The 25,336-nt window shown below is 41.0% G+C and overlaps 1 protein-coding gene, 1 long non-coding RNA gene and 1 pseudogene across 4 annotated transcripts, besides 5 other annotated features; 1 reads left to right on the forward strand and 2 right to left on the reverse strand.

Annotated features, from left to right (window-relative positions):
• RNU6-1187P (RNA, U6 small nuclear 1187, pseudogene) lies at window positions 3,082-3,191 on the reverse strand (annotated as a pseudogene).
• Window positions 5,348-5,397: an enhancer, noted in NCBI's record as "active region_21637". NCBI's record gives its function as "activates an Ori minimal core promoter by ATAC-STARR-seq in GM12878 lymphoblastoid cells {active_cell/tissue: GM12878}" and the evidence as "EXISTENCE:reporter gene assay evidence [ECO:0000049][PMID:35858748]".
• Window positions 7,108-7,177: a silencer, noted in NCBI's record as "silent region_15501". NCBI's record gives its function as "represses an Ori minimal core promoter by ATAC-STARR-seq in GM12878 lymphoblastoid cells {active_cell/tissue: GM12878}" and the evidence as "EXISTENCE:reporter gene assay evidence [ECO:0000049][PMID:35858748]".
• On the reverse strand, window positions 7,508-10,818 carry LOC101928864 (uncharacterized). Its single transcript, XR_244659.5, has 2 exons — window positions 8,024-10,818; window positions 7,508-7,730 (listed from the first exon to the last, which is right to left on the reverse strand). It is a non-coding gene; the product is annotated as an uncharacterized LOC101928864 (long non-coding RNA).
• Window positions 9,520-9,639: a silencer, noted in NCBI's record as "silent region_15502". NCBI's record gives its function as "represses an Ori minimal core promoter by ATAC-STARR-seq in GM12878 lymphoblastoid cells {active_cell/tissue: GM12878}" and the evidence as "EXISTENCE:reporter gene assay evidence [ECO:0000049][PMID:35858748]".
• On the forward strand, window positions 9,961-22,814 carry CCNG2 (cyclin G2). 3 transcript variants are annotated; one of them, XM_011532399.3, is made up of 8 exons: window positions 9,961-10,724; window positions 11,287-11,424; window positions 12,121-12,258; window positions 13,475-13,725; window positions 14,234-14,312; window positions 14,403-14,501; window positions 17,028-17,233; window positions 18,555-22,814. In XM_011532399.3, the coding sequence occupies exons 2-8, from the start codon at window positions 11,287-11,289 to the stop codon at window positions 18,676-18,678; spliced, it is 1,035 nt and encodes a 344-aa protein (XP_011530701.1). In that variant the 5' UTR covers window positions 9,961-10,724; the 3' UTR covers window positions 18,679-22,814. The 3 variants fall into 3 exon arrangements, with proteins under 3 accessions (XP_011530701.1, NP_004345.1, XP_011530700.1); NM_004354.3 differs by having other exon boundaries at window positions 9,961-10,260; XM_011532398.2 differs by lacking the exon at window positions 9,961-10,724 and adding an exon at window positions 10,918-11,205.
• Window positions 10,060-10,129: a silencer, noted in NCBI's record as "silent region_15503". NCBI's record gives its function as "represses an Ori minimal core promoter by ATAC-STARR-seq in GM12878 lymphoblastoid cells {active_cell/tissue: GM12878}" and the evidence as "EXISTENCE:reporter gene assay evidence [ECO:0000049][PMID:35858748]".
• Window positions 10,160-10,269: a silencer, noted in NCBI's record as "silent region_15504". NCBI's record gives its function as "represses an Ori minimal core promoter by ATAC-STARR-seq in GM12878 lymphoblastoid cells {active_cell/tissue: GM12878}" and the evidence as "EXISTENCE:reporter gene assay evidence [ECO:0000049][PMID:35858748]".
• Window positions 22,815-25,336: the final 2,522 nt, after the last annotated feature.

Raw genomic sequence — 25,336 nt, forward strand, 5'->3', positions numbered from 1 at the left:
TGACCAGTGATTAAATTTCATAATAAAACACCCAATCCAAATTGCCTGTGCTTAAACTAACCTAAACTACTGATGCAGCCATTTTGAGTGAACTTAGTAGGAAATACAGCCAAATAGGTCTTCTTCCTGGTATTCGAGAAGAAGGAAAATAAAACAATTCGGATATAGGCTTGATCTGTGTAACATAGTCACTAGGCTTGATCTATGTAACATAGTAACTATGTCACTGTAAAATAGTGGTTAAACTTGATCTATGTAACATAGTAACTATGTCACTGTAAAATAGTGGTTAAGAGTGTGGATGCTAGAGTCAGATTGTCTAGGTTTGAACACTGATTCCACCACTGTCTAGCTGTGGGATCAAGTTACATAAACTCCCTGGGACTCTATTTCTGGGTCTGTGTGATGGTACTTACCACTTGTGTGTGTTACAGGCATTAAAGTTATGTCAGGACATATAAATCACTGAATACGGTGCTTGACAACTTCATTATTGATTACTACATGTAGATTATTATAAAGCTAATGAAATTTAGCTTCAGGGGCCCTCATTTGCACACTCTCTCCAAGTTCTCAGGAGTGGCCCTAGCAGAGTGTTCATGTGTTGGTTAATTTTATGTCAACTTGACTGAACTAAGGGATGCCCAGGTAGCTGGCAAAACACATCTTGGGGTGTATCTGTGAAAGCATTTCCAGAAGAGAAGGGCATTTGGATCAGTAGACTAGTAAAGAAGACCACACTCACCAATGTGGGTGGGCATTATCCACTATGCTGAAGGCCTGAATAGAACAAAACGGCAGAGGAGAAGGGTGAATTTGCCCTTGCTGTTTGAGCTGGGACATTCATCTTCTCCTGCCTTGGATATCAGTGCTCCTGATTCTCAGGCCTTTGGACTTGGACTGGGACTTAACACTATTGGTTTCCGGGATTCTCAGGCCTTTGGGCCTTGTACTGGAACTACACCACCTGGTTTCATGGGCCTCCAGCTTGCAGACAGCAGATTGTGGGATTTCTCAGCCTCCATAATTGCATAAGCCAATCCCTCATTATAAATCTCCTTCTATATACAGTCATGCATTGCTTAATGATGAAGATAAGTTCTGAGAAATGCGTCATTAGGCAATTTTATTATTGTGTAAACTTCATAGAGTGTACTTACACAAATTTTGGTACTATAGCTTACTACACACCTAAGCTATATGGTATAACCTACTGTTCCTAGGCTACAAATCTTTGCGGCATGTTACTGTGCCAAATACTGTAGATAACTCTAACACAATGGTAAATAGTTGTGTATTTAAACATATCTAAACAGATAAAAGCTACAGTAAAAATACAATGTTATAATATTATGGAACCACTGTTGTATATGTGATGCGTTACTGATTGAAACATCATTTTGCTGTGCATGACTATATCTATATATATCCTATTGGCTTTGTTTCTCTGGAGAACCCTGACTGATACAGTTCACATATATATTTTTTTGAGTTTTGTGAAAGTAAGTGATTTTAATTACAATCAGTTAAGGCTGCTATCTTTCTCCATGTCAAATTTCACTGTATCATTTTCCCTTGAATTTAGAGGTGCTTGAGTGTCCACCAGCATTTTGGGGATCTAAGGGGAAGTTGAGTTGAAAACATATCATTTAACTAAAATTTAAAAACACATTTTGGATTGTTCCAATAAAACAATGAGGAATTATAAAAACCTAATTTGGATATAAAAGAAAGGTGCTCTGTTTTGTTATCTAAAAGTGCTTTTATTGAAGAACTAAGAGAAAATTTACATAAAAAGTTAATGGGATATGAAATAAAAGTGATAAAAATGCATGATGACATTGCTTCTTGTTCAGATACGAAGAAGCAAACTATGTATAACACTTTTTCCAGATCATTCTAAAACCAGTGCTTCCTTACAGGGAAAAGAGAAATTTTTAGAAGTAATGGATAAGTCTTGGATTGTTTGATACTCTATTAAGAGGAAGGAATCATAAAATCCTACAAAATATAGAAATTTCTTGCTGATTTGATACAAAATACTGACATTGACAAAGATGACATAAACCTCAAAATATGCTTCTGCAATGAAGAAACAGATGAGAAGCTAAATAATTAGTCTATCCGTTTTCACTGGTATCCTGGATTTTTTATAGCTTGTACGCAGAAAAAAACTTGGTAAAGATTTTCCCAAATCTAATATCAACCATAACATATACTATGGTATTAATAATGAATTATAAAACTGAAATAAACATTTTAAAACAGCAACAATTTTTTAAAAACAAAATTTGATTAGCCATATTAAAGGAAAAACTAAATTTAAAAAAAGTTCTCTTCAGAAAATTATATTAATATATTATTATCATATGAAGAGGTGATCAGAGAGTATACAGCCAAAAATATTGGTAAAAAGTTGTACAGCCATATGTCAGGCAGTTTATTAATAAAAAATATTATGGGATTTTCCAGATTTTTTATGTTTGTGAATGTAAAAGACTATTTTCCAGAGACAGTCATCACAGTATCTCCTATCCCACATGCTCTTGTTATAAGGTGATTGACACATCCCTCATTGAGAAGTGGAATCTACGTTCCCTGTCTTTGAACCTGAGTAGATGTGACTGTGGCTGAAAGGATGTTGTAGTTGACAGAATAAAGGTCCCTCAAAAATGTCCACATCCTATTCCTCACCAGCTGTGAATATGTTATGTAATATAGCAAGATGGAATTAAGGTTGCAAATCTGCTGACCTTTTTTTTCTTTTCTTTTCTTTTCTTTTCTTTTTTTTTGAGACAGGGTCTTTCTCTGTCACCCAGCCTAGAGTGCAGTGGTGTGAACATGGCTCACTGCAACCTTGACCTGGACTCAAGTGATACTCCCACCTCAGCCTCCCAAGCTGAGACTACAAGTGCATGCCACCATGCTTGGCTAATTTTTAAAATTTTTGTAGAGAAAACGTCTTGCCATGTTGCCCAGGCTGGTCTAGAAGCCCTGGGCTCAGGCAATCCTCCCATCTCGGCCTCCCAAAGTGCAGGGATTACAGACATGAGCCACCATGCCCAAACTTTTCTTTTTCTTAAAAATACGGAACACTTCATAAATTTGCCTGTCATCCTTGCATGGGGGCCATGCTAATCTTCTCTGTAACATTCCAATTTTAATATATGTGGCCAGGCGTGGTGGCTCACGCCTGTAATCTCAGTACTTTGGGAGGCTGAAGCGGGCAGATCACCTGAAGTCAGGAGTTCAAGACCAGCCTGGCCAAGAGGGCAAAACCCTGTCTCTGCCAAAAATACAAAAATTAGCTGGGCGTGGTGGTGCACACCTATAATCCCAGCTACTTGGGAGGCTGAGGCAGGAGAATCCCTTGAACCCAGGAGGCAGAGGTTGCAGTGAGCCGAGATCGTGCCACTGCACTCCAGCCTGGGTGACAGAGTAAGACTCCATCTCAAAACAAACAAACAAACAACAAACAACCCCCCCCACACACAAAAAAAACAACAAAAAAACAATTTTAATATATGTGATGCTGAAGCAAGCACCAGCTGACGTTGAGATGGTGAGACTATACTGGACTATTCAGGTGGGCCCAATGTAATCACTAAGGTCCTTATAGCTGGAAGTGGGAGGCAGAAGAGTCAGAGTCAAGAGAGATCTGGAGATGCCATGATGCCGGCTTTAAAGATGGAGGAAGAGCCACAAGCCAAGGAACGCAGGTGGCCTCTAGATGGTGGAAAAGGCAAGAAAATGAATACTCTCTAGAGCCTTCAGAAGGACTGCAGCCCTGCTGACACCTTGATTTTAGCCCAGTGAGACCCATTTTGAACTTCTGACCTCCAGAACTGTAATATGATAAACATTTGTTGTTTTAAATCCCTAAATTTGTGGTAATTTCCTAGACCATCAGTGTGAAATTAATATAGATGCTATCTGACTGCCAAGGCTGGTTTGTAAAAGGAGACACAGTGTTCACCTGATTTTCTTCAGGCCCTGCCACCATGCCATGAGGAAATGGAAAGACCACGTGGAGTGGTCACATATAAATGTTCCAGCCACCAGCCTCAGCAGAGGTCCCAGCCCACAGTCAGCAACAACTCCAGACACGTGAGTGGCAGCAAGATGATGCCAGCCGCAGTTACCATCTGATTACAACTTCATAAGAAACCCTGAGCAAGGGCTGCCCAGCTGAGTTCAAGCAACGCCCCAGACCTGTGGGTGATGATAATAAAATTATTGTTGTTTTGAGTCACTAAGTTTTGGGTGATTCATTGTACAGCAGTAGATAGCCGAAGCAGTCAGTATGTAACAACTGTTTAAAATTTACACTTTGTCTTGAATTGTCTCGTTTTAAATAAGTATTCACTTTCATATCTAATTTTGTATTTGTAAATTCTTTTTTTCCTAGAGAGAGCCCCTCCAAATAGTAAAGCTTCAAATGTACTACCTTAAATCTGGTTCTACTTCTGCATGTAGCCACAATTTCTTATTCAGAATGTGGTTGAAAACATAAAAATATACGTAATTAAACAGACCTGAGGATCTTTGATATAAAGCAGTCTTTCTTTTTTTCTGAGACGGAGTCTCGCTCTGTCACCAGGCTGGAGTGCAGTGGCGTGATCTTGGCTCACTGCAACCTCCACTTCCCAGGTTCAAGTGATTCTCCTGTCTCAGCCTCCCAAGTAGCTGGGACTACAGGTGTGTGCCACCACACCCAGCTAATTTTTGTATTTTTAGTAGAGACAGGGTTTCAACAGCAGTCTTTCTTTTTAAAGTTAAAAAAAAAATTTCATTTTGAAAACACTTTAAAATGTTAACAGAAGCAAATTTTAAGCTTATACCACTTATCCATATCACTTTAAACATCAATTGCCTTTTCATTTGAGATAAAAAAAGAGATCATGACTCTCACAGACAGTAAAACTTCTTTTGGAAATAAGATGATACATTCAACAGATGTATCCTAAGTTACTCTTTGCTGACAGTGTCAACTTCATATAGCACTGTGATGTCAAGGAAAGACAGGAAATCTCTGAGTTAGGTCATGGTTCTTGAAACAAACCATGAAAGAAAAATGTGTTACATAAAGAATCATGTACAATGTACCAGAATGTAGCCTGAGCCACTTAAAATATATTTTAAGATGATTTTGAGATGATTAGTTCTGATTTCAGGCATTGCCGAATTCTCAGTTCACTCTCCTTTGCCAGGCTTTTCACATTATGTCAAAGCTACTTCATTTATTTCAGTTGATTATTCGTGTAAAAGAGAGAGCACTGGATAACAAAGTACTGAGTCGGGCTTCAGAGTCAACCGAGCATTTAGTTCTCAAGTTCTCAGGTTGCAGAGATAGTTCCTACAAGGCTACTCTCTTGCAGGCTAGTAGAACTGGGAGGGACTAAAGTGGCTGGCTGGAAAAACTGGTCCTCTTGCTGTAGTCATTCAGATGGTGTCTACAGTGTGGATAATTTCCACAATTCCAAAGCCAACCCTACGTAGATAAACACTATGAATGTTTATGAATATGGCCAACCCTTGCATAAACACTCTTCCAAAAAAACAGGGCATGCTTCTAGCATTAACAACAAAAGCAACAAAATATATAGTAAATGGATTGTAAAATGTTGATTTCAAATTTGAGATGGTCTTGTTTGTGGGAAAATCAGAAAGGAGAATATATGAGATGTTTCACTGACTTATTCTGCTGATTGCTTGAAGACAGAGATTAATCATCTGCTATATAAATCATCTCATTCTTCCAGGTTCTGATTTAAAAATGAGCTCTTGGTTGAAAAATCTGCATTACTTCAAGATAGCACCCTATGCTACTATGCTATACCTTCCCTGTTTCTCTTCCTCAGAGAGGCATTCCTGTCTCCATTGCAGGTTCTGTGAAGCAAGACTTATCTAAGCAGGAAGTTTGGGGCTGCAAACCACTTTTTTTTTTTTTTTTGAGACAGGGTTTTGCTCTGTTGCCCAGGCCAGAGTGCAGTGACATGATCATGGCTCACTGTAGCATAGACCTCCCAGGCTCAAGCAATCTTCTTGTCTCAGGCTCACATGTAGCTGGGACTACGGGTGCATGCCACCACGCCCAGATAATTTTTAAAATTTTTTGTAGAGATGAAGTCTCGCTATGTTGCCCAGGCTGGTCTTGAACTCCTGGGCTCAAGTGATCCTCCCACCTCAGCCTCCCAAAGTGCCGGGATTCCAGGTATGAACCACTGTGCTCAGCCTAATGACAGAAAACAGCCCAGGCAGGGACCCAGCAATAGTGAGTAGACGGGGAGGGGGAGTATGGCCTCATGTCAGCTTTACGTATCCTTATCCTCAGGTTCTTTCCTTTCAGGGCTGCTTTCCACCAGACTTCTTTGATGAGGTTAGGGATGATCCCTTCCTTTCCCTTCATGAAGTCACAACATGGTGCAGCCTAGAAATATATAGCTAGTTGCTTTCACAAATGTTTGTATTCAGTCATCACATATGAAGCAGACACAACTACCTCTGGCTTTTTGTTTTCCTCAGTTTAGAAAGCTGAGGCTCAAGACCATGGGAATTATTCAGGGTATTCAAGGCACCATTTCTAATGAGTAGGAAAGCTGAGACACAAAGCCAGTTTGATCCATGGCCAGTGCTTTTGCCCTACACCTCAGACATACCAGGGTATATGCTGGGGCCTTGTTTTATTTATGTATTTTTGTATTCCTGGTGCCTAGTAGCATGCCTGGCACTCAGTGTGTATTCACTAAATTTCGATTGAATAAAAAGCTAGGATTTATTGTCAAAAACCATATCTTTGAGGAGAAAGATGATATTTGGAAAATTGTAGCAATTTTGATGCCTTATGAAGTTCAGGGAAGTCTAAGTCATTTAGGGAAGCACTGCAACTGTCCCATGAGAGTGCCCTATTTTCAAGGTAGAAGCTTAAGTGTGAGCAGGTTTGCAGCACACTTGTCAGGAGTCAGGGATTCACTGAATGTAGTCAGTGTTTCTGTGTGGGCACTCCCTGCTTATTACCCATTCTGTGAGCACCTTTTAGTTTCAGTCTCACATGTCACTGAGGACAATGGGCTGCACATCAGGCTTTCATGGGGTTATTGGTGACAGTATCACCCAACCCCACTGCACCCCTACCACATGCTGTAGAAAACCAAGTATCTTAAATTGTCTGGAAGTTCTTGGGGGCTGCCAAGTTTCTGATTTCCTTATTTTGTATGTGTGCATGATACAGGAAATTTGCCTTCCAGAAAGCTCAGGAAAGGCTAATGGGTAAAGCCTGATTAGCCTAAGGGGAATAATGTCTTTTTCATAAATAACACTTTCAGCTCCGGCAAGGTAAGCCAATGTGATAAGGACAAATAGAATGAGGAGAATTTTTTTTTAAAAGATATATTAACAAACAAAAAATTCTGCAAAGTAAACAGAGAAAACCTACATAATCCCCCAGCCCATTTCCTAAGAATATCATCATTCTTAAAATGAGGTGTTTAAAAAAGAGGATGCTGTATTAATAATTACTGGATCTGTATTTTTAATGATTGCTTTCCTTTAATCTTAAAGAGATAAGTGGACTAACGTGGATAAAGGGCTCCATCTTGGACAACTTGATCAGTCTTTTCTTCTGTGCTGAGCAGGGCCTGCCAAGAGCAGGAAATTCAACGCCATTTACAAAGCTTTCTTGTCTTACTCTCAGAGAAAGCCATCACTGTTCACATCATTCAAGAGGCTGTCTGTAAAAGGACACATAAAATACCAGTTATGAAATATAGAGTACACATTTAGTATAGCTTCATATCATTTAGTGCTAAGCAGCAAGATGATTATGTCAAATAAAAGTTATCACTTATTTATGTTTAAAAGATCAGATAAGCATTGGATAAAATTATGTAGCCTAAGCAAAGGACAATTTCTAAATCTTTTCCTTTTTGTTTTATATAGTCTGTTATTTTTAAAGTCTTCTACCACATAAATTTGCATTTCCTCTTTCACATCACTTATAAAATAACGTATGTTCCTTTTTTACCTTTGCCTTCTTACTTGAAAAAAACATCCCCAGTCTCCTTCATGCTTTGATCACAAACTCTTCATTTCTCTGATGGTGGATAGTTGGTCGAGCTGCTTTCTGTCTGTGGGCCCTGTCCACTCAGCCTATTGATGCTCTGTACAATGAGCTGTCATCTCTGTAATTTTAATCTTAGCTCTAGTCTCTAAGTTAGTTTCATGCTCCTATTATGTTTATCAGCATAGATTTCCAGCAAGATGATTATGTCAAATAAAAGTTATCACTTAATGTTTAAAAGATAAAACAAGCATTGGATAAAATTATGTAGCCTGTAAATCATTTAAAACTGGTGTGCTAATTTTATCTTATTTTCCAAAACCCTCACCAAGCTCACACCTCTCTGAAATAAGTGTTAGCTTTTTGGGCTGCCTTCCCCCAGTTGCTCTGTGCTCCAAACAGATGCCTGTGTTTAGTCCGAGCTAATATGCAAAGGGACCTAGTTTTAAAATTCCTTAGCTGCTCCGCAAAGAAGAGCGCTGCCAAAGCTATGTTGTGTGCCTTCCCATATTTCACAAGTAACAAAATAATTCACAGAAAACACATAGAAGAACAGAAAGGAGAAATCTCTTCCCAGGGACTATCTGATTATGTAGATTAGAACTCACGAATATGGTATTTTCTAATTTAGGAGGGAGAGAGTAAACAAATAAATGTTCCAGGGCAGTCAACCACATGCCCCATTGATATTCCGTGTGAAAGTGTCTCTGGCCTAAGGCACCTGGTTTGTTTGCTTTTTGTCCCGTCCTGGGAGACGTGTCGCCTATAATAACAACGCTAATTATAATGAACAATAAATGATAATTTATGGGTTACCAAGGACCAAGAAGCTCTGGGAGTCTTCATTAAAACAACAGCACTACAACCTCTGGAGGTACGCCGTAATTATTAGATGTTTACGTACCCTCATCAGCGTGCTAAGTTTTTATTGAAAAGCCCCTCCTTCAGTCCCTCCTGAATTTTTTTAAATTATGGAAAAATTCCAAGACACAGAACTAGAAAGAATACTGTAATGCAGCCTCGAGTACCCATCACCCAGCTTCGACCCTCAACTTTTTGCCTATCTTATTTCACCTCTCTTCTCCATTTTTTTTTCTCTTGGACTGTAAAATTTTAAAGCAAATACCCAAACTTGTAGCATTTATTGAATATTTTAGTAAACGCCCCGACAATGTTATAATAATTTGGTGGGTTATTGCAAAATGGAACGCCAAGACAAAATAAAGAAGGAATGTAGAAAACTCTCCCGTGGCTGAAAAGGCTGTCACAAAGGTTAGCTGTTAGGAGAAGCGCCGCGAGCGTGACATTCCCCCAAGAAAGGCGGAGGCAGCCAGGCGAGAAGGCACAGCCCCGCAGGGCAGGTAACTGAATACCTTCTCCGCTGCACACCCAGGCATGCGCAATCCAGACCCTGGAGTTGCTAAGGCCCCAAGGCAGAGAGAGGCTCAGGCTACGGAGAAAGCCAATCAGAGGGCTCCAAGACTGATAAGTTAGCCAATCCAGATTCGAGGGTGAATCAGGTCCTCAGCATGCCCATCGCCCCACCCGCATCCAATCAGAGAGCCGGCTACTTTGGGCGGACTTTTCAAAACAGCGAAAACAAAACAAATCGGGGACCTTTAAAAGGCGTAATGAGACCAGAAACGATCTCCTTCCGCCCCTCTGTCTTCCCCCGTTCCCCAACGCAGATCAATCGCGGAATAAGCCCGACGCCCAGATTCCGCTCTCCGCCCTAGCGCCAGGCGGGAGGACTGGCTCGGCAAAGCCAAGGAGAGCTAGGGAGGCCGCGAGAGAGGCTCGAGACGGCAGCTTAGGGGCGGGACTCTTTTTTAAAGTCCGTGGAGGAAGTGCAGGATCCCTCCGCGGGGAGTCACGTGCCCCGCCCCCTTGGGGGCGTCGAAACTCTTAACAAAAACAAGGGGCTCGGGGAGGTTTCCGCTGAGGCGGCGGGGGTGCGGCGGTGGGCTGGTCTTCCGCGGCCGGCGTTGCGCCGCGGCGGAGGGTGGGCGCGCGGGGAGCGGGATGGAGCCGGGGCTGTGAGGCCGAGGCGGCGGTGCCTGGGAGGAAGGGTCGGATGCCGGACCGGGGGCACCGCTGAGGCGGTGGGTCCCCGACCTGCGAGACAGGTTTGGAAGCCCCCGCTGCGCCCAGTCCGTGCGGACCGCGAGGCCGCGGGCGGGTGGAGGCGCGTCTCCGGCACGGTGAGTGGACCCGCCCAGGGCCGCCGTGGGTTTCTTTGTTCGTGGTGGGGACTGTGGGCTTTGAGGAGGTTGGTACCATGCGAGTGCCTCGGTGCTGCCTGCTCCTCATCCGCTGGAGCGACCAGGGTGCTGCCCTCAGCCCCAGCCCCGGGGGGAGCTGGCGCCCGCGATGGACAGATAGATGCTCGTGGGGTGGAAGGAGGTTGCGACTAGGTTAAGGGCAGTCTCCGCCTCGGTGCCCCCCGCCCCCGCTCGTGTTGTCACGGGGACTTGCTGGCGTGGTGCTTCTCGAATTGACAGCCCCGGGGCTCTGCAGAGTTGTGGGGCCCCGGCATCAGTGGGTGGACGGGTGTTGTCCCTACGGGCGCGGGGCGGGCGGGCTGGACTGGACTTCTCTCCCCGGACCGTAGCCGGGTGTGCCGCGCCACCCCAGGGCTCCTGGGACGGGGGTATCCGCCTCTCGGGTAAGTCCGGAATCGGCGCTGCAGCAGCGGACGGGAAAAGCTGGGGGCGGGACTCTCCGAGAGGGGCTTCTGCAGCTGGGCGCCCCGGGCGGGCGGGGCTCGGGAGTCTCCTCCCTCCGCTTCTTTGTTCAGTCGCGAGACTCTCCCTCCCCTCCCCCCTATTGTGCAACACCCCATCCCCGGGACCCGCTGCAGTCGCTCGCCACACTGCAGTCCCCTGGGCAGAAGGCCCTCCCTGGCGCGACTTCAGGTGGGGCAGACCGAGGGGACGCCGGCGCCCGCGGACAGTTTCCTGTTTGTGAAACGCCAAGAGGCCAGGGCTGGCCGGTCTTACCCAGCGCTGGCCGGCGGACCTGACCACGGCTCCTCCCCCTGCCACACCTCCCTGGCCGTGGTGGGGATTGCCCTGGGGCTCTGGCGGACGTGACTGGTCCCTTCACCCGCTCCTTGTCGGGGTGTGCTGGGGCGACCCTTGCTGGAGGTACTGGCCTCAGCCCTTTCTCCCGCTTCCCCACCCCTCTTACCCCCAGATTACATTCTCTGTGTGGTGTCTTTACTGCAGATGAAGGATTTGGGGGCAGAGCACTTGGCAGGTCATGAAGGGGTCCAACTTCTCGGGTTGTTGAACGTCTACCTGGAACAAGAAGAGAGATTCCAACCTCGAGAAAAAGGGCTGAGTTTGATTGAGGCTACCCCGGAGGTAAGTTGGCAGAAAAGATAACTTGCTCAAGCAGCTGATGGGGCTTGGAGGAGGTAACCCCCCCGCCCCCGTTGAATCATGACTAAAGCCTGCAAAATTTCTTAAAAGTTGTTCTTTCTGGAGTACCAAGATAAACCTTATTACAGGTTAATGCTTTTGTTTCTTAGCAAGAATGAGAGTGATACTTTAGAGAAGTGGGGTTTTTTGTTGTTGTTTTTAATGTGGCACCCTCCTCGCTGCCCCCCATACTCCAGCCTGCAGCTTCAGGATGGGAGACCCCGGGTGAATTGAGTAGTTCATTTGTGCAAACACCCTCTGCCTGTGAAATACATATTTATAGTAGAATCTTAAATGACTTTAGAAAAGCAAACAAAAGAACCCTTTCTCTCCATTCCAAGGGAATTGAATTATATTTGCTATAACTCTCTGAAATCTTGCAACAGTTCACCTTATATTGAATTGCTGAAGCTCTTTTATGATGCGTATTTTTAAGAAGCAGTGATTTACGTCTTACAGATGATAAAGTGTATAGCTTTAGTTAAGCGATACCACTCTTTCCACCTATATTCTTGAAGATTGAGGGAAAAAAATTAACCTTATTCTTGGGAAAAAATTAACCTTATTCTTTGGACCTGTATGTGTTTTTCATCTGGTTCTAAGAAAATTGTAAACCTTGGTTCTTGGTTTTTATTGCAGAATGATAACACTTTGTGTCCAGGATTGAGAAATGCCAAAGTTGAAGATTTAAGGAGTTTAGCCAACTTTTTTGGATCTTGCACTGAAACTTTTGTCCTGGCTGTCAATATTTTGGACAGGTTCTTGGCTCTTATGAAGGTATTTCATCATTTTTATAAATATGTCTTCCTTTTTCTATGCCCAGTGCCTAGCACACAGGGTTCAAGAAATATTTATCGAATGGGTATAATAACGTCCACTGTACATAAAAATTTATAATCAGAATTGTGATCGTTAGTGCCAGAATAAGACTACAAGATTAATTGTATTGTTGTATCTTAGGTTTTTCTGTTGTGTCTTAGGTTTTACCTCTTAAGTACTTTCTCTTGAATATGTGACAAAAGAGAGACTACTATTTTTTAGGTATTTGCCATATATTTATAGTCCTCAATATAAGATTTCATCTGCCATCATGCTTCTCTTGAAGCCAGATTTTTAAAATACTGAAGCATGACAAATGAAGTATAACAGTTTATTAAATATGACCGGCTGCCTTCCCTAGAAGTCTCTTCAAAGCAGGGAGCCATGGTTTTATTAACAGTCACCAGCAATGGCTAGAAAAATGTGGGGAATCTTCTGCCAGTAGGATTGCTGTCAGCTGCTGGGTCAGTTCTCAGGGCACTGAAAAGAAAAGGGCCGCCATCTGTCCATGGCAGCTTTTACATATGTCCCACTCTGCACAACTCGTGATATTTCTCTTGGGCAAAATTACATTGAAATATGGAATGACTCTTAAAGATTTTTATGTAAAAAGATAAGTATAAAATATTTTAATATCCCAGTACATTTTTTTTTGGTGTTAAAAAGCTTAATTTATTTTGGGAGAGATTATATTATGAATTTCATAAGTCTGAAATACAAATTATACTTTAGTGCTAGGAATCTAGCTTTTGAACCTGCATGGAAATTTTTGTACCTGCATTTGAATTTACATAATTTAAAGGTTCAAAAAACTTTTTTTTTTTTTTTTAAATAGAGATGGAGGCTTGCTGTGTTGGCCAGAATAGTCTTGCTATGTTGGCCAGAGTGTTCTCAAACTCCTGGCCTCAAGCAGTCCTCCCACCTCAGCCTCCCAAAGTCCTGGGATTACAGGCATGAGCCACTGTTCCCTGCTGCCTTTTTTTTTGGGGGGGGGGGGAGGTCGAGAACGTCTAAAATGTGAAAATGTGTATAATTGTGGGTAAAGAGCCAGTACATATAAGAGAAACAACTTGATTGTGTTCTGTCTTAAGAATAGGAGCATCATTACAATATTCTAAGTATCTGCTAAGTCAAAGTGACAGTTGTTAAAAGAAGCCTCTTGTTTTTTTCTCAGGTGAAACCTAAACATTTGTCTTGCATTGGAGTCTGTTCTTTTTTGCTGGCTGCTAGAATAGTTGAAGAAGACTGCAATATTCCATCCACTCATGATGTGATCCGGATTAGTCAGTGTAAATGTACTGCTTCTGACATAAAACGGATGGAAAAAATAATTTCAGAAAAATTGCACTATGAATTGGAAGCTACTACTGCCTTAAACTTTTTGCACTTATACCATACTATTATACTTTGTCATACTTCAGAAAGGTCAGTGGGATTAAAGATACATTTTGTACTTTGAACATTGCTATAGCTAACAGTAAATAATTGGAATGGCAATGAAATTTATATTTTTACCTTCTTCAAACTTTCAACTTTGACTTTATTGGTAAATCTTTTTTTTTTTTTTTTTTTGGAGAAGGAATTTCGCTCTTGTTGCCCAGGCTGGAGTGCAATGGCGTGATCTCGGCTCACTGCAACCTCCACTTCCCGGGTTCAAGCGATTCTCCTGCGTCAGCCTCCCAAGTAGCTGGGATTACAGGCGTGCGCCACCACACCTGGCTAATTTTATATTTTTAGTAGAGACAGGGTTTTTCCATGTTGGTCAGGCTGGTCTCGAACTCCTGACCTTAGGTGATCCACCTGCTTCTGCCTTCCAAAGTGGTGGGATTACAGGCGTGAGACACCGCGTCTGGCCCTGGCAAATATTTAAAATCATTTAAAATCATTTAAATCTTTGGAAGTTTAATAAATCTTTGTTCTTTGCATTGTATAGGAAAGAAATACTGAGCCTTGATAAACTAGAAGCTCAGCTGAAAGCTTGCAACTGCCGACTCATCTTTTCAAAAGCAAAAGTAAGTCGATTCCTTGCTTATGTATATATCTCACAGTTTGTATTTTGAATTTTTAAAAAATATTTTTCTTTTTTTTCTTTTTTCTTACAGCCATCTGTATTAGCCTTGTGCCTTCTCAATTTGGAAGTGGAAACTTTGAAATCTGTTGAATTACTGGAAATTCTCTTGCTAGTTAAAAAACATTCCAAGGTAATTACAGTCATTATTCTTTAAGGCAAATTTTTTTCCTGATGTTTATTTTTTTCTGTGGTGACTTAAACATTAAGTAATACTTTATGGGACTCTTAACTTTTACACTTGTTTTTTTTCTTATATCTCTAGTGTTAAAGTTCTCAAAATGCAGCTTTGACCCAGACAGTATTAATCCGGAAGGGAACCTGGTCACTTAGCTCAGCTTCTTTCTGCATATAGGTGCCCCTTCTGTAGTAATCATGCCATATGATAGTACAGCTGTTACATTGCCACATATGCATTGTTCTGAAATGCATACTAGGTAGTAGACTCAGAACAAACACTAATGGGATAGGATGGGATCCCATCACACCTGTAGGACTGAACTGTCATCCCATTAGCAGCAGCATCAATTAACACCAGCAATGTTGATGTTTTAAACCCGAATGTCTTTTCAAATCCTTTAGGCCAGCTAAGTAAAAGTAAGTCTTACCATCACAAAGAGATATAAAACAAAAGCACAATACTTTTTCTTAAACTCTCAGTCTAGTTGGGGAAATGAGGAACTTAACATGAAGTGGTGTGTTCTGTCATTTGTTATTGTGTCTTGGTGCCAGGTAATAGTGAATATAGAGAGTACTTTGGGATTTTTTTTTTTTTTTTTTTTTTTTTTGAGACAGTCTTGCTCTGTTGCCCAAGCTAGAGTGCAGTGGCATGATCTTGGCTCACCGCAACCTCAGCCTCTCGGGTTCAAGTGATTCTCCTGCGTCAACCTCCCGAGTAGCTGGGGCTACAGGTGCTCACCACCATGCCAGGCTAATTTTTATATTTTTGGTAGAGATGGGGTTTCGCCATGTTGGCCAGGCCGGTCTTGAACTCCTGACTTCAAGTGATCCCACCTGCCTTGGCCTCCCAAAGTGCTGGGATTACAGGCGTGAGCCACTGTGCCCGGCTTACTTTGGGTTTTTTTTAAGCAAAGAAATAGGGCAGACTAGGAGAAACACTATGACTGGGAGCCTGTTTGGAGCAAAAGAATCTTTGACAGTGAAAGTTTCAGCGAAGGCTTAACGGCCAAGAAATTGGTGGACTAGACAGATATAAAAGTCATTTTAGGGTAGACTTACAGGTACAATGTCTAGGTGGTAGTCACAAGCAGGAGTAAGGCTGTCCAACTCAAACAGTGGTTTTGGAAGCCAAGCATGGAAATGAGGCAAGGAGTCTTGAATGACCAAGATTTGTACCTAATGGTGGATATAATATTAGCATAATTGGCAGGAAATTTGGGAGAAGTTAATTTGTGATGAGAGCAATATGATTTTAGATGCTTGTGTACACAGGTGGGTGTCTAGTAGGTGTTTGGCGTTTTGGAATAAGAAGATAAACTATAGTTAGAGATTGAGGTTTGGAATTTCTCATGAAGAAGCAGTAGTTGAAACGGTAAGAAGCTGTGGAATCCTTTTTGTAGGGGTCAGTTGAAGCTCTGGGGTTTTCAGCGTTGGCCTTTCCCCCCAACATTAGGAGCCAAGTGAAGAAAGGTACATCCCCACAAGTAGAAGCACTGTCAGACTGGAAGGAGGTTTTTAAGGAGGTGGTCAGGAGTATTGAATTTTTATAAGAGATCCAATATAATGAAAATTGAAGGTCATTGGGTGTGTCAGAGGTAATGTCAGTAGAGCAGTGAGAAGGAAGTGGTAGAAACCAGATTACAAGTGGGTTAGGATGTAGCTACATTAGGTGAAAATGGGAAGCCAAGAAAATAGATCTTCTGTTTTCTGGTGAAAATATGTGCATGTGAAGCATTTTGTTTGTAACAGATAACTTTTTGCTTTAGTTATGATTTTATTAGTTTTTATCTGAACTTTTTATTGATAGTGATAGCTGGAACCATCTTCAGTGAAAATTGATTCGTTGAAATAAACTGAAGGCATTCCGAAGGAGGAGGGAAAAAAATACGTAAAAAGAAAAACAAAAAAGAAATAAACTGGAGCACTGCCCAGTGGTGGCGGAACTATGTCCTTTTTGGGAAATTCCTGTTCTCTCATATCACTAACTTCTTTAGTTTTGTATCTGGTGTTATAAGTGTGTATTACCAGCAATCCAAACAATGCCTTGTTGCAGGAACCCAAATTGGTTTCTGTAACAAAAGGAATGTTAAATTCCTTTGCATTGAGACTAAGGACTATACTTGATAGCTGATTTATTAACAGACCCAGAGTGTTTTTAGGTCAGTGTTTTCTTAGAATAGGCAAAGCTTTCTGTGTATTGAATCCTATGTAGTTTTATACTTACGGTGCTCTTCTCCTAAACCAGTGGTTCCCAAATTTTGAAAGTTTGGCTGCACATTACAATCACCTAGGGAACTTAGAAAACTCTTGATGCCCATGTTGCACTCATTGTCAATTAAATCAGAATACCAGGGGTGGAAGCGGGTAGTGGGAGCCAGGCATCTATATATATATATTTTTCATAGCTCACCTAGTGATTCCAAGGTGCAGCAAGATTTGGGAGACATTGCCGTAACCTCTTAAAATATTTTTTTTTCAGATTAATGACACTGAGTTCTTCTACTGGAGAGAGTTGGTTTCTAAATGCCTAGCCGAGTATTCTTCTCCTGAATGTTGCAAACCAGATCTTAAGAAGTTGGTTTGGATCGTTTCAAGGCGCACAGCCCAGAACCTCCACAACAGCTACTATAGTGTTCCTGAGCTGCCAACGATACCTGAGGGGGGTTGTTTTGATGAAAGTGAAAGGTAGGCAGGTTCCTTGACTAATTAAACTTCCCTAGACTAAATATTACTGAGTTTATTATACTCAGAACTGGAATAGTGTAAGACATCAGAGAAAGCAAGCACCTACACTAAGAGCTAAGAATTAAAGCCCCCACTCTTCAGGTAAGCAAATTAACCAGAAGTAGTATTTTAATATGTAATGATTTATAAGGTCCTCTCCAATTTTTTTAGTTTTTTTCTTTTTTATATTTTTTTGAGTAGAGATAGGGTCTCGCGATGTTGCCCAGGGCTGGTCTTACATACTCCCAGGCTCAAGTGATCCTCCTGCCTCAGCCTCCGAAGTGCTGAGATTACAGGTGTGAGCCACTGCACTCGGCCTCTTTTCCCTTTTTAAAGTGGTTGTTTTCCATCTTTCTCCTATTTCCCTTGCTCTTGAAATACAGCTAAAAAACCCCAAAAAAACAAAACTGAAAAAGAATTCTGGGCTTTGTAATGTTAGTATGAATTCCTAATATTGTGCTGTGGTGAAGAGATTGAGGGGTAGGTGCCTGGAAAATAAAGGGAATCACCACCACTGATGGGGAAGACTTCTATATATGTTCTCAGAGGTTTGTCAATTGGTGTTGTCTTATTCAGAATTTGATTACTTTGTTTGTAAAGTGAATAACTTTGCTAAATTTGTTTGTTTTATGCCGTAGAGATAAAGGGCCAGAAGTTTCATTTTCATAGCTTGTTAGTTTACTTTGATATTTGACAGTGTAAGTGGTATAATAAATCACTGATGCAAGAAATACATCTAAATAGACCATATGCTAGGAGGTATGTTGTTTTTAGTCTTCATTACTGGATTTAAAATACTTAGAATTCTACAATTCTAATACTTGCTGATAGTTATTAATTGGTACAAGAATAATAGTTTGGCAAATAGTAACTTGTTTAAACTTAAGAAAACCTATATTTTCTTTCTTTCTTTCTTTTTTTTTTTGCATGTGCCACCATGCCCAGCTAATTTTTGTATTAATATTTTTTGTAGAGATGGGATTTTGCCATGTTGCCCAGGCTAGTCTTGAACTCCTGGGATTAAGCGATCTGCACACTTCGGCCTCCCAAAGTGCTAGGATGACAGGGATGAGCCACTGCACCCAGTCCAAAAAATCTATATTTTCCAATGAGATTACTATAGACTTCATTTAGGAAGTCCTTATAAATTTTGTCTCTGTAAAGCATAAATTTTGAATATAAAAATCCTCACTAGAGATATAGCAGCTTTATTTTGGCTATAAAACATTTAAGTGTGTTTTAAGTAATGGTATCCTCTTTTTTTGTCTCTTTTTCTCTTTAGTGAGGACTCTTGTGAAGATATGAGTTGTGGAGAGGAGAGTCTCAGCAGCTCTCCTCCCAGTGATCAAGAGTGCACCTTCTTTTTCAACTTCAAAGTGGCACAAACACTGTGCTTTCCATCTTAGAAATCTGATTGTTCTGTCAGAATTTATATTTACAGGTTTCAAAGCAATAAATGGGGGAATAGGTAGTTTCCTGGTTTAGCCCCCATCTAGTCAGGAATTAATATACTGGAATACCTACCTTCTATTTGTTATTCAGATCAGATCTGGCCTATTTTCATATTTATCCTAAGCCATCAAATGGGGTAGTGCCTCTTAAACCATTAACAGTACTTTAGACATTGGCACTTTATTTTTCTCGTAGATCTTTAGCTACTTTGGGGAGGAGGGAAGGTGCTGATACCTTCAATTTGTTACTTTTCAAGATTTTTAAAAATAACTAGTGTAGCTTATCTTAAACATTTTATAAAACCTTCAGATGTCTTTAAGCAGATTGGAAGTATGCAAGTGCTTCCTTAGCAGGGACAGTGGATAATCCTTAATGGTTTATCATAGATTTCACCCTCCCCCCTTCTCAGAAGAGTGAGTATGCTCTTAAATGTCAAACACATTTTTGTTGTTTTGTTTTTTAAATGATCAGTGTCTATTTGATGTGATGCAGATCTTATAAATTTGGGAATTATAATATTGACATTTCTGTGATTTTTATATATGTAATGTCTTAATTGAGATTTCTGTTAAGGCAGAAATAATTAGGCTAGGGCTCTTAGTTTTCATTCCTATTGCCCAAGTATTGTCAAACTATGGTATTATTTTAATGTTACTTTAAAAATCCATAATCTGCTAGTTTTGCATGTACTTATATGAAAACAGTGCAGTAAGTTGAAAACTCAGTATCTATGGAATTGATAAATGTTGATCTGGTGTAGTATATTTTATCGCATTTTCTTATATTAAAAAATGTCTGCATGATTACATTTTATTTCCTTTGTAATTTACATTTCAGAATAGTGTATTGCTATATGGGTGCCAAGATTGAATATGAAGAACCCGAGTGTTTGTAGTATTATAGTTTTAAGCAAATCTGTGTGGTGATACAGCCATAAGAATGGGGCTTATATAAACTCTGTACATGTAAGATTTTGTACAGAGAATTTTTAACTTTATAAATTGTATATGAACATGTAAATCTTTTAAAATGTACATAAAATACTGTATTTTTTTACCTTGTGTGTGATAGTCTAGTCATTGCATGTAAATATAATTTATTATGTATTCTGTAGTATAAATCATACATTGATGACTTACATTTTTACTGGTAAGTCAACATCCGTTGGATGTTTTCTGAAGTGGCTCTTTTTGAAGTGATAATAGATTGTAATTCAAAATAAAATTATTAATGAATTCTCCTTGTTTGGGATCACATCTTAATTTTTAATCTGTTAAAAGTTCTTGATGTATTTTAATGAGAAGACTTTAGGTGAGGCTACAGTGATTCCAGAGTGAGCCTTCTAACTGGCTAGCAGAAGTTCTCTAGGTTTGGCATCTGTGCCTTGGAGATACTGAAAGAGAATCTGTCATTTGACAATTGACCTCTTTGTGGGATGGACTCATTAAGTATGCTCTCAGAGACTGGTATATTACCAGAATGCCTATTAATTTTCAGTGAGAGGCAACAGGTATTAAGTAGAACAGAATGCTCAGGTTGGCAGATTAGAACGATCTTTCAGGAGACAAAGCAAGTTTTAATCAGTTGTTTGGTTAATAAGTATGGGGTGTTCGCTGTGATAGGGCCCCGCCAGCTTCTGGCTCTTGTGGACCTCAAAAGTATCAGGTGGTTTTGCAAGTGGTGGTCCTTTCCCCTGCCCCACCCCAATAGGTTCCCCATCTGTCTAGTTTGATTTTTGTAGACCTTTGTTTTCTCTAGTTAGAAAATCAGGTACACTGAATATGGTTTTCATGTAACACCTCTTCTCTGGAGATAGGGGTATGTTTTCCTACCCTTCTAGTGGAGAATCCTACTTGAGGATGACCTTTCCTCTCTTACTAAATAATATTAGTAAATAGTGGGCAATATATTCTGCTTTCAGATTTTGATTTGTTGAGATGTAAAAGTTGTTTGGGGCTTACCAAATCTCAAGACTCTCTTTAGCTCCTGCAGGATTGTATTGCTTTTCTTACTGGATATTTTTCCTGGGTAAGCATCTTTGTGGCTTCATCTCTTCCCCCTGTGGTTTTCAGTGTATTTAGTCGAGACCTCTCTGCTGAGCTTGCAACCTGTTTATTCACATGGCCTGCCATGCCACTTGGAGGTTTCTGATTACTCCCAAACCTGCTGGTTCTTTATGTCTTTCTCAGCGAATAATTCCATCTATTCATGTTGGAAACTTAGGTGATATGCTCATCTCCTTTTGCCTGTTTATGGAGGTCACCAGCCTCTATCATTTGTATGATTTCGTTTACACTGTTTATATCTCTCTGTCCCCCCTTTTTCTGCCATTGGCATGGTTTAGACCTGTACTCTTTATCAGCAGAGGTACTGTAATATATTTGTGATCCCTCAGCTTCCAGGCTTACTCCTGGTCTCTGCCTTCCTATCTACATATCCTTTTAAAATAAAATTTTAACTATCTCCTGAAAAATTGTTGAGTAGGTCACGCACAATCAGGAGAAAAATCTATTCATGACATACAAGTCTCTGTCTAATCTGAACACTGCACCTGTCTCTGGCCTTTTTTTCTTGTCATTTCCTAGACCTTAAAAAATGTGTATTGAGAAAGAACTCTGTTAGCTATACAGAAGATGAACTGGGCAATATAGAGTAGCAGCATGGAGACCAGTCTGACTGAACTAAGGCAGTGGAAGTGTGGATGAGGAAGAGAGGTGAAAATTGAGAAGCGCTATCCTTTCTCTTTGGGCATTATTAGGAGGCTCACAGACAAGTCCAGGAGCCTGGTTATACCCTCCTGTGCCATTCAACCAGGTGGCTTTCCCATGACTGTGATGAATAAAATTGAGAAGCCCCTGCCCTTTTCAGAGCAGAGGGTGAGGAGAAAGCTACCATTTTGTCCTCATCCTTACCCCCGTTGACTTGGCGAGAGATTTGACCTTTCAGGTTTTGATCCTGTCATTTTCTAGGATGTGGTGCACGCACTTTGCTGTTGCGCATGGTGAAGTATTGTGCCTAGGTCCTGGGTCTTCATCTGTTTGGCTCTGCTACTGTTTCCTCCTCCCAGGAAGTGTGGTTAGACAAATAATGTGTTTTAATTACCTGTCACACTCAGGATTAATACATACTCAGGTTAACTGTAGAGAGGCATTGGCTTCAGAACACTCCTCGTGACAATTTTAACCATTTTCTTTGTCTAGAGTCTGCCTTTTTCTTTTTTACAATTTCTTTTATTTCAACACTAGGTTTCAATATGGTGTTCCTGCTACCTCCCACCTCCCTCCTCCCTCATCACACATGCAAATTGTCAGCTTATTGAGACAACCCACTTAGATTCATATATGGACAAGGACAAGGTATTTTGCATTTGTTACTGGAATTCAGTTTTCCTAACTATTTACTACCAGAAATGGTCAATAACTTACTTTGTGTTTAGCAAATCAAATTGTGTGATAGATAGTTTCCCAGTATGATGGCCAGTCAGTCTTTCCATCCCTGTGCCTACATGCTGCTCTTCCCGTCCACAAGTGGAGTCTGTTTCTCTTGAGTTTTGGCTGGCCTTATGAATGGCTTTGCTTACTGAAGTGCAGCAGAAGAAATTTAGTATATGTCCAAGCCTAGGCTTTAAGAGACTGGCAGCTTTCCTTTTATCCTTTTTGGAAGCTAGCCACCATGCTGCAAAGAAGCTCAGCTGGATTACTGAAAGATGAGAGGCCATGTGGAGAGAGACTCTTGAGGATGAGAGATTATCTTGGATGTTCCAGCCTTAAGCTCCCAGCTGAATGTGGGTGTATCCTCAGCTACACCACAGAAAACAGAGGAACTACTCAGTCGATCCCAATCAACCCACAGACTCACTAGAAATAACAAATTATTGTTTTAAGCCACGAGGTTTTGGGGGAGGGTTGTTAAACAGTAATAGATAAGTGAGACAGATTGCTTGTTATTTATGGTCAAATGGTGATTATCTCTGGTGAGATTACAGGTGATGTTTTTTTTAAGTTATGCCTATCTGTAGTTTCCTTTTTTTCCTAAAATTGATTTGAATTATTAGTGTATTAACAGAATAAAGAATGAACTTTAAAACACACACGCTGGTTATATGCTTCCTCTAATTAAAATTCATGGCTCTCACCACACCTTAGCATCAAGTTCCAACTTCGTACTGCGGCTTAGAAGACCCAGCTTGATTTGTTCCCGGCTCCCTTTTCAGCCTTGTTTCATGGCATCCACATCCACGTATTTCCCAGGCCCACTACATCTGAGATGAGTCAGAGACCCCTCTTAGGGGCCTGTTCCCTACTCCCAAACATGGAAATTAAAAAAAAAATCGTGAGTTCTTCCAAGAGAAATTCCAGGCATCTGGCTAGCCCTGAGAAGTAAGAGAGAAATGTGATAAGCAACAAATAGCGGCTCAAAACAATAGCCAAGTAAGTTAGAATCATGGGATGTTTGGTTCCCCTATAGAAACTACAGATAACATCTTAATATATATCCCTGAGTTGTTTTCCAGAAACCTGAACCCCTAGCAAATGGATGCGCTAGCACATAGACCTCAGATAAGAGGGAGCTGAGGACTGAACTCTGACCACCGTTCTTTGTTCTAAATTTCTTCCTGAGAGGCCTGGAGGAGGTCATGCCCATGAGCCAGAGATTACATTTTTTTCTGTAGATTTCAAATGTTGAGACAAAACGTCATCTCCTTAACCAATCGCACACTAGAAAGTCTTTGAATCCACCCCCACTTCGAGATGCCTTGCCTTTTTAGGTCAAACCAATGTATAGTCTCTATGTATTGATTTCTGACTTCGCCTGTAACCTCTGCCTTTCTGCCTTTAAAAACTCTTACCTGTAAACCATCTGGGAAATTGGGATTTAAGTCTTAGATGCCTGATCCTTCTTTGGTGCCCCGCAAATAAATGTTTTCCTTTCTCCTGCTGCAAACCTCAGTGTGGCTATCTGATCTTGCTGGGCCGGGTGGGTGGACCCCAGTTCTGTTTGATAACACCCCACTCACCATGCTTTTGCTCACTTCAGTGCCTTGATGCACACCATTTCCTCTGGCTAGAACACCTTGGCACCCTCATCTGGCAAACCTACTTACTACCTTAGGACTCCCTTCATTGACTTACTCATTCACCCATCAGATATTTGAATGCTTTGTGTGTCAGGCACACTTGTGTTGCTATGGAATGCCAAACACAACAAACCCTATCCCTGCCCTCGAGGAACTTACAGTCTAGTAGCAGAACCCAAAAATTCATGGCAAATAATAAAATGTTCAGGCTGGATGCGATGGCTCACGCCTATAATCCTAGCACCTTGGGAAGCCAAAGTGGGTGGATCACCTGAGGTCAGGAATTTGAGACCAGACTGGCCAACATGGTGAAAACCCATCTCTACTAAAAATAAAAAAATTAGCTGGGCATGGTGGCGGATGCCTGAGGCTGAGACAAGAGAATCGCTTGAACCCAGGAGGCAGAGGTTGTAGTGAGCTAAGATCACACCACTGCACTCAGCCTGGGTGACCGAGTGAGACTCCATCTCAACCACAACACCACCAAATAAATAAATAAATCATGTTAAAAGGCTGTGACAATTTTTTCTTCCAAGAAATCTTTCTGGAACTCCCTGACTTTCCTCTCTTTGTCAGTGTTACATGTTTCCATAAAACCCTACATTTTTTCTTATCCTAGAAATTAATATCTTGCTTGTGTGTCCCACTTATCTGCTAACCTTACCTGTTTGCTCTGGAACAGCAGGGCCTTTTGTCTCTTTCGTTCTTTGTTGACTGCCAAGCACCCAGCACATTATCTGGCCCATACTCCTCATGCTGCTGTTGCTATTACTGGCAACAAGTAACTTTGCTGGCCACTTAATATGTTTCAGGCACCTTACATGAATGATTTTATCCTCACCACACTGCTATTAGACAGGTACTACTATTAGTCCAATTTTACATACGAAGAAACTAAGGATTAGAGAAGATAAGTACCTTGACACAGGTCTAGTAAGTAGCAGGGCCATAATTCAAACAAAATTTCTCTGCCAAACACTATCCTGTTAACCACAACGCTAAGCTATTACCCAAAAGTTGATGATATTACCAAATAGTTGTTGATTGAATTAAATAATAAAAATTCTTATAAAGAAAATTCTACTCATAATACCAGTAAAATAAATCACAGAATTCTTTTGTTCAATGTTTAAGTGCTCTCACCCATAGAAAGGAAAGGTGGCTAAGATTTAGAGTTAAAATATTTTTTCTCAGAAGCCAAAATAGGACACAAATGTAAAAATCCAAGACAGTATAGTGGCAGAGAATATAGGTATTCCTCAAGGGCTGGAGATTTTAATTTGCCCGGGACCTCTTGGTACTCAAGCCTGTGGGTCTTCCCAGCCCCTGTATGTCTAGTTCTTTTTACACTTTGATGACAGTTTGTGCTTGATCATTCTGGGTTCCAATACTCACAGTGTTGGAATTCAGTGTTAGTGTGGGTGGAACTTGCAACCCCAGACAACCGTTTTGTTAAAGGCTTGCTTGCCCTTTGCTATTTTACTATTATTCAACGTAGCAATCATCTCACACTTACTCATTTACTGCTCTGAGGT

This window comes from Homo sapiens, chromosome 4 (genome assembly GCF_000001405.40).
Source record: "Homo sapiens chromosome 4, GRCh38.p14 Primary Assembly".
Taxonomy (NCBI): domain Eukaryota; kingdom Metazoa; phylum Chordata; class Mammalia; order Primates; family Hominidae; genus Homo; species Homo sapiens.

Excerpts from the sequence above, each read along its gene's own strand:
- CCNG2 (XM_011532399.3), top strand. The coding sequence starts at position 11,287 with ATGAAGGATTTGGGGGCAGAGCACTTGGCAGGTCATGAAGGGGTCCAA. Across the intron at positions 11,425-12,120 it reads TGATTGAGGCTACCCCGGAG|AATGATAACACTTTGTGTCC; the intron begins GTAAGTTGGCAG and ends TTTTTATTGCAG. Across the intron at positions 12,259-13,474 it reads GGTTCTTGGCTCTTATGAAG|GTGAAACCTAAACATTTGTC; the intron begins GTATTTCATCAT and ends TTTTTTTCTCAG.